General features: G+C 52.2%; 5 annotated features.

The window, feature by feature from the left end:
* Positions 6,887 to 6,966: an enhancer, noted in NCBI's record as "active region_26408". NCBI's record gives its function as "activates an Ori minimal core promoter by ATAC-STARR-seq in GM12878 lymphoblastoid cells {active_cell/tissue: GM12878}" and the evidence as "EXISTENCE:reporter gene assay evidence [ECO:0000049][PMID:35858748]".
* Positions 7,087 to 7,156: an enhancer, noted in NCBI's record as "active region_26409". NCBI's record gives its function as "activates an Ori minimal core promoter by ATAC-STARR-seq in GM12878 lymphoblastoid cells {active_cell/tissue: GM12878}" and the evidence as "EXISTENCE:reporter gene assay evidence [ECO:0000049][PMID:35858748]".
* Positions 8,640 to 9,583: an enhancer, noted in NCBI's record as "H3K4me1 hESC enhancer chr7:101386177-101387120 (GRCh37/hg19 assembly coordinates)". NCBI's record gives its function as "activates a minimal SCP1, AML or CMV promoter by ChIP-STARR-seq in naive H9 embryonic stem cells {active_cell/tissue: H9 hESC(naive)}" and the evidence as "EXISTENCE:reporter gene assay evidence [ECO:0000049][PMID:30033119]".
* Positions 9,463 to 9,582: a silencer, noted in NCBI's record as "silent region_18488". NCBI's record gives its function as "represses an Ori minimal core promoter by ATAC-STARR-seq in GM12878 lymphoblastoid cells {active_cell/tissue: GM12878}" and the evidence as "EXISTENCE:reporter gene assay evidence [ECO:0000049][PMID:35858748]".
* Positions 10,212 to 10,732: an enhancer, noted in NCBI's record as "H3K27ac-H3K4me1 hESC enhancer chr7:101387749-101388269 (GRCh37/hg19 assembly coordinates)". NCBI's record gives its function as "activates a minimal SCP1, AML or CMV promoter by ChIP-STARR-seq in primed H9 embryonic stem cells {active_cell/tissue: H9 hESC(primed)}" and the evidence as "EXISTENCE:reporter gene assay evidence [ECO:0000049][PMID:30033119]".

The raw sequence follows: 12,742 nt of genomic DNA on the forward strand, positions 1-12,742 counted from the left end.
AGTAGGTGTTAGAAAAAATAGTCAAGTGTGAAATAAATTCCTGCAAACCTCCCGGCCTTGCTGGGAACCTTCGCTTCACCATCCGACAAACCCACAGCTAATAAATCAGAGGCGGTGACCAGAGCTGGAATGACCAAAACAGCCTGAGCTGGATCCACACAGAGCCTCAGAGGGGCAGAGAAGGGAGCCCTCTGGCCACCTGCCCTCTCCTGTAGCGCCAGCTCCCTGAGCACTATTTTTTTTTTTTCCAAGACGGAGTCTCACTCTGTCATCCAGGCTGGAGTGCAGTGGTGCAATGTCGGCTCACTGCAACCTCCGCCTCCCGAGTTCAAGCGATTCTCCTGCCTCAGCCTCCCAAGTAGCTAGGATTGCAGGCGCGTGCCACCACATCTGGCTAATTTTAGTATTTTTAGTAGAGACGGAGTTTCACCCATGTTGGCCAGGCTGGTCTTGAACTCCTGACCTGCAGTGATCAGGAGTTCACTGCAGTGATCAGGCCCGCCTCGGCCTCCCAAAGTGCTGGGATTACAGGTGTGAGCCACCTCGCCCAGCCCTCCCCACGCTTTTTGAGTTCTCCCTGCAGACTTAGAATCTTTGGACAGCCTCCAAAATGACTCCCTTACAGCCAGAGCTGGGTCCCAGGTCATGAGAGGTTTTCAGAGCGTCTGAACAGACAGGCCAGCTCAGGGATCTCTGAGAGGGTTTACCTCCCACTCTACCAAGCCTCCTCCTGAGACCGCAACCCCCATACCCTGAATCCTATTCCCAGCTGGCCAGGCCTTGTGCCACCTCTTCTCACCAGGCAGGAATTGAGGCCCACAGAACAGAAGAGATCTGTCCAGAGCTTACTCTGAATCTATGTTCCCTCTCTGGGCCCCAGCATGTTGTGTCTGTACCTGAAGGATATATGTACAACCTGACGTCTCATGTGGGCACGTGAATTGTAGCCGGCTGGCTCAACCAGAATCCAAGCTCTGTAAAGGCAAGGCTTGAGCCTGGCCTAATTTTTGCAGGCTAAAATGCTAGCTCAGACCCCAGCTATAGAAAGAAAGAAGAAAGGAGGGAAGAGAGGAAGAAGAAATGTGAAACAAGGAAGGTTTTGGAACTGGGATTTTATTCTGATGGGGCCACAGTAACAATGAATTGTACAATTCCTTCAGGCGCGGTGGCTCACACCTGTAATGCCAGCACTTTGGGAGGCCGAGACGGGAGGATCGCTTGAGGCCTGGAGTTCCAGACCAGCATAGGCAACAAAGCAAGACCCCAAATCTACAAAAAATTTTAAAATTAGCCATGCACTGCATTCCCAGTGGTGCGGGCCTGCAGTCCCAGCTACTCAGGAGGCTGAGGTGGGAGGACTGCTTGAGCCCAGGAGGTCGAGGCTGCAGTGTGAGCTATGAACATCATGCCACTGTCATCCAGCCTGGGTGACAGAGGGATATTCTGTCTCTAAAAAACAAAAATTAGCAGCCGGTCACAGTGGCTCACACCTGTAATCCCAGCACTTTGGGAGGCTGAGGCGGGCAGATCACAAGGTCAGGAGATCAAGACCATCCTGGCTAACACAGTGAAACCCCGTCTCTACTAAAAATATAAAAAATTAGCCAGGCATGGTGGCACGCACCTGTAGTCTCAGCTACTCTGGAGGCTGAGGCAGGAGAATCGTTTGAACCCAGGAGGTGGAGGTTGCAGTGAGCTGAGATCATGCCACTGCACTCCAGCCTGGGCGACATAGTGAGACTCTGTCTCAAAAAAAAAATAAAAAAAAATTAAAATTAAAAATTAGCCAGGCATGGTGGTGCACGCCTGTAGTCCCAGCTCTTCAGGAGGCTGAAGCAGAAAGATCATTTGAGCCCAGGAATTCAAGGCTGCTGTGAGTTACAATCATACCACTGCCCACCAGCCTGGGCAACACAGCAAGACCCTGTAAAAGAAAAAAAAGAAAAGGGATTTTGTTCTCCTGCTCTAGAGTGTGAAGTCCCAGGGAAGGGCTGTGATAGGCCCAGGTGGTGTCATGTGACCACCCCATTGGCCCAATCACGATGACCAGAACTGAGTCTGATTCAAGAAACAAGGAAATGGCCCAGGGCAGACAGAGTCCCAGATGTCCACTACACGTGGGTTTATTTCGTTTGCCCAGCATATCAGCTCTGGAAAGGAAGGCAAGAAGAAGGGGTAAGTACTATGGCCTCCACCTTCTGGCTGAGAAACTGAGACCTTAAGAGATTTCTTTTCTTTCTTTTTTTTTTTTTTTTTTTCTGAGGTGGAGTCTGGCTGTTGCTCAGGCTAGAGTCTAGTGGTATGATCTCGGCTCACTGCAACCTCCGCCTCCCAGGTTCAAGTGATTCTCCTGCCTCAGCCTCCCAAGTAGCTGAGATTACAATCGCCCACCACCACATCTGGCTAATTTTTGTATTTTTAATAGAGACGGAGTTTCACCTTGTTGGTCAGGCTGGCCTCAAACTCCTGACCACGGGTGATCTACCAGCCTCAGCTTCCCAAAGTCCTGGGATTACAGGCGTGAGCTACTCTAGCCAGCCAAGATTTCTCCCATCATGAAACACTAAGTGGAACCTGTACCTGCCCACACCCATTCCCCACAAAGGCCAGGCCACAGCTGCCCCCACATCAAAGGAAAATTCAACTGGGGCCAGACACAGTGGCTCACACCTGTAGTCCCAGCACTTTGGGAGGCCAAGGCAGGTGGATCACCTGAGGTCCGGAGTTCGAGACCAGCCTGGCCAACATGATGAAACCCTGTCTCTAATAAAAATACAAAAATTTAGCCAGGCGTGGTGGTGGGCACATATAATCCCAGCTACTTTGGAGGCTGAGGCAGGAGAATCACTTGAACCCGGGAGGTGGAGGTTGCAGTGAGCCAAGATCGCACCACTGCACTCCAGCCTGGGCAACAAGATTGAAACTTCATCACACACACACACACACACACACAAAAGAAAAAAAAAGAAAAGAAAATTCAATTGGGACTTAACTCCTCCCGGAATTAAAGTGAGAGAAAGGAAAATGGATTTCAAATGTGTTTCGAGAGATTTCATCAAGACTGAAATGGCATTTTCTAGCACATGTCTCAGCACAAATCCATGTAGAGAAGGAAGCCATGTTCAGATGAGAATCTCAGAGCTATGCATGATAGAATTGAAAGAGGTTTGGCTGGGCATGGTGCTCACACTGTAATCCCAGCACCTTGGGAGGCTGAGGCGGGCAGATCATCTGAGGTCAGAAGTTTGAGACCAGCCTGGCCAACATGGAGAAACCCTGTCTCTACAAAAATACAAAAATTAGTTGGGTGTGGTGGCACATGCCTGTAATCCCAGCTACTCAGGAGGCTGAGACAGGAGAATCACTTGAACTCAGGAGGCGGAGGTCAGCCGAGACTGTGCCACTGCACTCCAGCCTGGGCAACAGGGCGAGACAACGTCTCCAAAAAAAAAAAAAAGAAAGAAAGAGAGAGAGAGAGAAGGGAGGGAGGGAGGGAAGAAGGAGGGAAGGGAGGGAGGGAGGGAGGGAAGAAGGAGGGAAGGGAGGGAGGAAGGAAGGGAAAGAGGGAGGAGGGGAGGGAGGAAGGAAGACTGTCTACTTTTCAGGGTTAGTATGTAGCATTCAATGTAAAACTACACACAGAGTGATTAGAACCGGTCATAGCACACAGTGAACGCCAGTACAGCCTGTCTACTGCAGTTATTATCCGTGTGCCCTTTTACAAGTCTCCTGCCGTCTTGGAAACTTGGCTTCGCCATCTGCGTAACAGGTGAAATGGTGGTGGCACCCCTTGAGGTGGGTCACATGAGTGTCACATGGGAAAAGTTTTGGAGCATGTCTTTGCAGTGTGTCCAGCTCAGATCAAAGGCAAGGGGTTGGGATTCTCTCACACCCTACAGGAGCCCCAGTGCATAAAAATGGGCTATTCCTGCCCTCTGTGAGCTTACAGTCCAGTGCAGGGGACTATTAAACTATGCAAGGAGATACAGCATGGAAGGACTTGCAGGCTGTGATATATGGAATTTGGATTTTGTCTTAAATCCAATGAGAAACTATCAAAAAGTTGTAAGCAGGGAGAAATGTGATCTGATTGACATTTTAATAAAATTACTCTGGGCCAGGTGCGGTGGCTCACGTCTGTAATCCCAGCACTTTGGGAGGCCGAGACTGGCAGATCACGAGGTCAGGAGATTAACACCATCCTGGCTAACCAGGTGAAACCGCGTCTGTACTAAAAATACAAAAATTAGCCGGGTGTGGTGGCAGACGCCTGTAGTCCCAGCTACTTGAGAGGCTGAGGCAGGAGAATGGCGTGAACCCGGGAGGTGGAGCTTGCAGTGAGCCGAGATTGTGCCACTGCACTCCAGCCTGGGCAACAGAGCGAGACTCTGTCTAAAAAAAAAAAAAAAAAAAAAATTACTCTGGTTGCCAGGCGCAGTGGCTCACGCCTGTAATCCTACCACTTTGGGAGGTCAAGGCAGGAGGATCACTTGAGGTCAGGAGTTCAAGACCAGCCTGGCCAACATGGTGAAACCCCATCTCTACTAAAAATACAAAAATTAGCCATGCGTGGTGGTGCATGCCTGTAATCCCAGCACTTTGGGAGGTCAAGGCAGGAGGATCACTTGAGGTCAGGAGTTCGAGACTAGCCTGGCCAACAAAGTGAAACCCCGTCTCTACTAAAAATACAAAAATTAGCCACGCATGGTGGTGCATGCCTGTAATCCCAGCACTTTGGGAGGTCAAGGCAGGAGGATCACTTGAGGTCAGCAGTTCAAGACTAGCCTGGCCAACATGGTGAAACCCCATCTCTACTAAAAATACAAAAATTAGCCATGCACGGTGGTGCACACCTGTAATCCCAGCTACTTGGGTGGCTGAGGCAGGAGAATTGCTTGAACCGGGCAGGCAGATGTTGCAGTGAGGCGAGATCGTGCCACTGCACTCCAGCCTGGGCGACAGAGTGAGACTCCATCTCAAAAAAAGAAAAAAGAAAAAAGGTTACTCTGGCTGCAGGGTGGAGGATGAGTGAATGGGAGGTGGAGCGAGGGCAGAGGCCCCCACGGGTAGGGCAGCAGAGATGGCCAGGAATAGTTGGATTGGGGTATTTTTCGGAGCTGGAGTCTACACAGTTTGATGTCAGATTGGGTGGGGAAGGTGAGGGAGAGGGTGATGTCAAGAAGGACTCCAAGGCTTCTGGCCTGAGCCCTGGGTGGAGGGCGGGGACATATCCTGAGAGGAGAGAGCCTGAGTTGAGTTTGGGACACGGGGAGTTGAACATGCCCTTGAGACATCCAAGTACAGGTCCCAGGGACAGCAGGGTATGCACCGTGACAGAAGGGACTCAGTGAGTGGGTGCTATTGTGAGGGCGGGTCTGCTATCCTTGGAAACAGAGCTTCGGAGGACCTAAGGGTGAGACCCTCGGGCCAGGGAGACCTGGACAGCCCCAACCCCTTCTTCCTAAGTCCCAGTACTCCCAAGTCTAGGGGAAATCTGGAGTCTTCCAAGGACTTGGTTCTAACACAGTGGTGCACATTCCTGCAATTTTCAGGGAGAGAAGGGGCCCAGAGGGATGGAGCCAGCCTGGGCTGACTCCAGGGAGGAGGAAGAGGAGGAGGAGGAGGAGGAGGAGAGGCACAGAGTGTGGCCTGGAAGCCCCTTCCTCAGTCTGTTTGCACAGCTGTCCAGGCCTGGCTGGGCAGGGAGGGAGTGAGTCATGGGTTTCCGGTTCACCAACCCCCACCTCCAGGGCAGGACAAGGTGCCTGCAGGTACAGAGTTTGGTGATGAAGTCTCCCCTGGGGAAGCTCCTCCTCTCTCCCTCCTCCCCAGCCCTTTGATCACACCTCTAGGGGTTGTTTTAGCTTTGTTTTTTGGCTTTTTGTGTTTGGTTTTTAGAGACAGGGTCTTGCTCTGTTGCCCAGACTGGAATGCAGTGGTGTGATCATAGCTCACTGCAGCCTCCAACTCCTGGGCTCAAGCCATCCTCCAGCCTCAGCATCCCAAGTAGCTGGAACTGTAGGCACACGCCACCACACTTGGCTAATTTTTTAATTGTTATTTTTTGTAGAGACGAGGTCTCGCTATGTTGCCCAGACTGGTCTGGAACTCCTAGCCTCAAGCGATCCTCCTGCCTTGGCCTCCCAAAGAGCTGAGATTATAAATGTGAGCCATCACACCTGGGCAATCCCCGTTTCATGGTTTAAAAGGAAGACTCGGGGCCCAGTGCAGTGGCTCATGCCTGTAACCCCAGCAGTTTGGGAGGCCAAGGTGGGCAGATCACCTGAGCTCAAGAGTTCGAGACCAGCCCGGCCAACGTGGCAAAACCCCATCTCCATTAAAAATACAAAAATTAGCCGGGCATGATGGCACATGCCTATAATCCCAGGTACTTGGGAGGCTGAGGCAGGAGAATTGCTTGAACCCAGGAGACGGAGGCTGCAGTGAGCCAAGATTGCACCACTGCACTCCAGCCTGGGTGTCAGAGTGAGACTCCAACTCAAAAAAAAAAAAAAAAAAAAGGTGGATTCGGGAAGGTCAAGTGACTTCCCAAGGGCATTAGGCATCTCTGTGCTGGGCCTGCCTGACCCCAGGTCTCTGCTCCTGTCCACTGTGCCCTCACAGGATACCTCTCAGAAGTGAGAGAACTCTCTAGGTAGGAGCCAGAAAAGCATCGGAGGAAATTTCTCTCCCAGACCCATGATTTGGTTACTCCTCTCCTCAGCCCTGCCAACAGCCCCAAGGTGCACAGAGACCTTGCTTCTGAGACTCTGGCCAAGCTGGCTCTGAGAGTGAAAGGCTCAGTCTCTCTCGCCTGGGGAAGAAACATGCAGGCTTTAGAATCATGCAAGTAACCGTTTACCCACTTGGCTTCCTGTTAGGTTGTGTTTTTTTTTTCTTCCTTCCCCCAAGGGATGTCTCTTATCTGAAGGTTCTTAGGGGCTTTTGGTGCTGGGCTGTTTACCAATGGGTGACTGTTAGTGTCAGAACCAGCCTCTTGGGAAGAGTGAGGTGAAGAAAAGCAAGACCAGGTGAGCCCTTGGTCATCCACACAGCCACAGGAGTACAGGCTGGATGGGACAAGCACGCCCTGGGCAGTGAAGGACCATGGCCACATCCAGCTCTCCTGCCAATTTCAGGCTCCGTCTTCCAAACAGGGCGCGATTTAGCCAAGTGAAAGTGAGTTGGTGGCTGGGCGTGGTGGCTTAAACTGGTAATCCCAGCACTTTGGGAGGTGGAGGCAGAAGGATCACTTGAGGCCAGGAGTTGAGATCAGCCTGGGCAACATAGTGAGATCCCACTCTATAAAAAATTATAAAGTTAGCCAGGCGTGGCTACACAAGCCTGTAGTCCCAGCTACTTGGGAGGCTGAGGAGAGAGGATCACTTGAGCCCAGGAGTTTCAAGCTGCAGTGAGCCATAATTGCGCCACTGCACTCCAGCCTGGGCAACAGAGGGAGGTCCTGTCTCTTCAAAACAACACATTTAAAACATTTCACCTGTAATCCTACCACTTTGGGAGGCCAAGGCAGGTGGATCACCTGAGGTCAGGAGTTCGAGACCAGCCTGGCCAACATGGTGAAACCCCATCTCTACTGAAAATACAAAAATTAGCTGGGTGTGGTGGCTGGCACCTGTAATCCCAGCTACTCAGGAAGCTGATGCAGGAGAATCACTTGAGAGGGGGCGGAGGCAGAGGTTGCAGTGAGCTGAGATCATGCCACTGCACTCCAGCCTGGGCAACAGAGGAAGACTCTGTCTCAAAAATAAAAAATAAAATAAAAATAAAACGTTAGAACAGTGCTTGGTACACAGTGATGGCTCAGTAGATGTGAGCCAGTTATGAGTACTTAAAGCATAGCCTGTGCAAAGAGGCCGTGCTTCTAGCTTCACCTTTCCAACAGCATCTTTCCAGAACTTTCTATCTCCTGGTGGGCAAGGACCGTGAGAAACACCATAACCTGGAGAGGAATTCTGGGTCTCAAGATGGCTCCAGTTGTGCCTGTCTTAGGCAAGTGGGGTGGTGTGTGTGTGAGGGTGAGGGGTCCCAGGAAGGGTCCCCACACTTCACTCCTGCACCTCTCGCTCCCCACAGCCCCCCTCCCCTTTTCTAACTCCAAAAAGCCCAGAGGCCCAGCCGTGTTTGGAGAAGGAGGGGGGCCCTGAAGCTTGGGCCACCTTCAAAGTGACTGCAGGGAGGAAGATGTGGACACTAGACTACGTACTGACCACTCTGAGAAGGAAGCCCGCGGGGGAAGGTGGATGGGCGGTGGGCGTCACGGCAAAGGGGTTTAGGGGAGACAGGGATGTCTGTGAGCTGTGGGAGGTGCACACTGAAGACCCAAGAGGTGAGAATGGATGGAACTGCCCCTGAGAAGGGGGACAGGGGTCCCCTCCTCCCCTGAGAAGGAACAAACCGTTGCACTTGTCGGCAGGGCCCTGAGAAGTGGAAAGTGGATTTGATCTTCCTTAGACCATCACGTACCCGCAGCACCCTAGAATGTAAACAGGGCTGGGAATGCGATGACCAGGTCCTGGTACCTTAAGGGCTGGTACCTCTACCTCCATCGGGACCTGGTGCCAGAAATAAGAAGATTCTTAGACTATCCCCACTGGAGGCTGGGCGCAGTGGCTCAGCCTGTAATGTCAGCACTTTGGGAGGCCTAGGCGGACAGGTCACTTGAGGCCAGGAGTTCAAGACCAGCCTGGCCAACATGGTGAAACCCCTCTACTAGAAATACAAAAATTAGCCGGGCATGGCGGCGGGGGTCTGTAATCCCAGCTACTCGAGAGGCTGAGGCAGGAGAATCACTTGAACCCGGGAAGCGGAGGTTGCAGTGAGCCGAGATTGTGCCACTGCACTCCAGCTGGGACGACAAGAATGAGACTCCATCTAAACAAAATAATAAATAAAAAATAAAAATAATAAAAGAATATCCCCACTGGAAGGGTCCTGCAAGGCCAGCCACGAATCTGTACAAGTCCTCGGACAGACTGAGAAACTGAGGCTCAGAGAAGCGGCCCCCACCCCATCGGAGCGTCCCAGCTCCACGCGCGCGCCTGGCAGGGGGCGCCCTTCCCCGCCGCGCGTGCCGGGCAGGGTCCCCCAAGGAGAAATCCCTCTTAAAAGAGTTTTTCCTTTCGCGTGAACTCGCCGCCTGCATCCAGCAGCGCGGTCTCCAAGGTGAACCTCGCACAAATGCGTTGCAGATGTACGTCCTTCCATTTCTGGCTACCGCGGAGCTGCTCGGGAGCGGCGGCGGCGTCCCCAGAGCGATCCAGCCCGCGTTTTCCGTTCCGCCCGCCAACTTTTGCAAGCTGTAGTTATTTGATAATGATTTTTTTTTCAAACCTCTCCCAATAATTGTTATCCTCCCCGCCCGGTGCAGCTCAGGTGATGGGCACAGACGGCAACGCAGCCGCCGCCGCCGCCTCCTCCTCCTCCTCGTCCTCCTCCTCCTCCTCCTCCGGGTGCGCTAGGCTCTGGCTCCAGCCCAGGGGGAAGAGCCACAGCGGAGGCGCCTTCTGCAAAGGCAGCGGGGACGGCCCCGGAGGCTGAGCCAGAGCGACCCCGGATCCGCCCCCGCCCCCCTCCATGAGGCCTCTCACACCCTCCCCCGGCCCAGGCCACCTCCCCCAAAGCCCACTCTCCGGAGGCCAAGGCTGTCTGGTGAACGGCTAGGGGCTGCTGGGCACAGAGTTCAACGCTGCAAATATTTATTAGACACCTACTGTATTCCCAGGCCCTGAGCAGAGCTGGCCTCCAAAACAAATGAGAACAGCCCTTGCCCTCAGGGAGACTGGGGGACGCCACCCCTAACCTGGGAAGGTGAGAGGGGCTTCCAGGGCAGGGATACCCCCGACAGAACCTGCTCAAAGTGCCAGAGCTAGACAAGGAGGGAAGGCTTGGCTCCGCAGCAAAGCTCAAGGCAGAGCTCCGCCCCTCCCCCATCACCTTCAGCCCTTCCTCCGGTTTCTGCCAAGGGTCATCACTGAAAGCACCCTCAGAGTCTCTTTTAGAAAGCTACGGGTCTCTGCGGTCGTGGTGGCTCACGCCTGTAATCCCAGTACTTTGGGAGGCCGAGGCGGGCGGATCACTTGAGGTCAGGAGTTCGAGACGAGCCTGGCCAACAAGGAGAAATTCCGTCTGTACTAAAAATACAATATTTAGCCAGGTGGGATGGTGTGTGCCTGTAGTCCCAGCTACAGCCCATCGCTTGAACCGGTGATGAGCCGAGGTCGTGTCACTGCGCTCCAACCTGGGCCAGAGCGAGACTCTGTTAAAAAAAAAAAAAAAAAAAAGCTACCGGGCTCAGAAAATGGAGTCATGTAGGTAAGAGTGGAAGCAGGTGGCTGAGAGGCAGGCCCACACTAACTCCTTTTTGGAATCCCTGAGGTGCACACATAAACAGGGGTGGCAGGAGGGCAGGCTGGAGAGGGCCCAGGTGAGCTGCTGACCCCCACGGGACGGGGGGAGGTCACATCTGGGTCTGATGGCTCAGCCACAAGTGGTTTGAAAGGGGCCCTTTGCTGGAGGGAAGTAAGCCCAACCTCAGCTTGGTTACATCCCCAGAAAGCCCGGAGAGTTCTTTTTTTGTTTGTTTGTTTTTGTTTTTTAAGCCTGAGCTCATTTTTTAAGTTTTTAAGTGAATATTCAGTTTTGGTTTAAAGTTTTTAAATGAATACTAAGAGTTTTCGTTAAAGTTTTTTTTACGCATACTAAGTTCTTTCTTTCATTAAGCCTGGGTTGATTTTCAGCTTTTTAATGAATACCATTTTAATTATTTATTTTAAATACTAAGGTTTTGTGTTTTGTTTTGTTTGTTTTTGTTTGTTTATTTGTTTGAGACGAAGTCTTACTCACTCTGTCGCCCAGGCTGGAGTGCAGTGGTGCAATCTGAGCTCCCTGCAACCTCTGCCTCCTGGGTTAAAGTGATTCTCCTGCCTCAGCCTCCCGAGCAGCTGCGATTGCAGTCATGCACCACCATGCCTGGCTAATTTTTGTATTTTTAGTAGAGATGAGGTTTCACCATGTTGTCCAGGCTGGTCTCAAACTCCTGACCTCAAGTGATCCACCCACCTCGGCCTCCCAAAGTGCTGGGATTACAGGCATGAGCCACCGTGCCTGGCCTTAAATGCTAAATTTTTATTTTAATAAGTTTTTAATGAATTCATTTTAAGTTTTTTGGGGGTTTTTTGTGGGGGTCCAGGGGGGACCAGGTCTTGCTGTGTGGTTCTGTCACCCAGGCTGGATGCAATGGCATGATCATAGCTCACTGCAGCCTCACACTGCTGGGCTCAAGTGATCCTTGGTAGTGGCCGGAGTTCTGGGTACCTGGAGGTGGGCAGTGATAGAGGCATTTCCCAGGCAGGAGGTACCACTTAGGTGATGACTGACTCCTGGTGACTCTTTGACCTTGCCTGAACCACGAGTGACTCTGGAGCAGCGAATGTATTATCTCTATCACGCCAACCAAGAGCTGATATAGATAGGGCATTATTGAAGATCCATCTAAGGGCAGATGGAAGAGGGGCCCATGAAGCCACACTCCAAGGTCTAGTTTTCTTGTTGTTTTTTTGGGGGGAGTGGGAGACAATTATGGGTTTTTGTTCTTTGAGGGATTTTGGGGGTTTTGTTGGTTTTTTGGTTGGGTTGTTTGCTTTTGAGACAGGGTCTTGCTGTGTCACCCAGACTGGAGTGCAGTGGCACAATCATGCCTCACTATAACCTCAACCTCCTGGGCTCAAGTGATCCTCCCACCTCAGCCTCCCAAGCAGCTGGGACTACAGGCATGCACTGCCATGCCTGGCTCATTTTTAAATTGTTTTTTAGAGATGGGTTCTCACTATGTTTGCCCAGGCTGGTCCTGGACTCCTGGCCTCAAGAGGCCCTCGGCCTCCCAAAGTGCTGGGATTACAGGTGTGAGCCACACCACAGTTGCCCTCTAAAGTCTAGTTTTATCTTGTGAAGAGTGAGGAGCCGCTATGAGGTGATAAGTCAGTGTCCTTCCAGACCCTTCCAGGAAGCCCACTCCGACTGTTACCCTGGGGTTCACTGGTATCTCTGAGCACCTTGTGCTTCTGAGCCAGGCCCCCGGCTATGGAAGGGGTGGGGGCGATGCTCCTAGAGGTTGGAGGACAGATCATGAATGACAGAACAGTCTGATTTTCCTGGAGGACGCCCCTCCTTAGACAGGGCAAGCCCCCAGCCAGTGCCTCCTCCTTCCCAGCACTCAATGCTCCTCCTCTGCCTCCTTCACCTTTCACTTCCTCTTCCTCCACCTTCTGCTGCTCACCAGAGTCCAACTCACATTTCTTTAAAAACTTAAAATGGGCTAAGTGCATGGTGGCATGCACCTAAAATCCCAGCACTTTGGGAGGCTGAAGCAGGAGGATCGCTTAAGGCCAGGAGTTCGAGGCTGCAGTGAGCTATGATCACACACTGCTGCACTCCAGCCTGGTTGACAGAGATCCCATCTCTAAATATTAATAATAATAGACTGGGTGTGGTGGCTCATGCCTGTCATCCCAGCACTTTGGGAGGCTGAGGAGGGCAGATCACCTGAGGTCAGGAATTCGAGACCAGCATGGCCAACGTGGTAAAACCCTGTCTCTACTAAAAATACAAAAATTAGCCAGGCCTGGTGGCGGGCACCTGTAATCCCAGCCACTCGGGAGCTTGAGGCAGGAGAATCACTTGAACCTGGGAAGCAGAGGTTGCAGTGAGCTGAGATCGTACCACT

This window comes from Homo sapiens, chromosome 7 (genome assembly GCF_000001405.40).
Source record: "Homo sapiens chromosome 7, GRCh38.p14 Primary Assembly".
Classification (NCBI taxonomy): domain Eukaryota; kingdom Metazoa; phylum Chordata; class Mammalia; order Primates; family Hominidae; genus Homo; species Homo sapiens.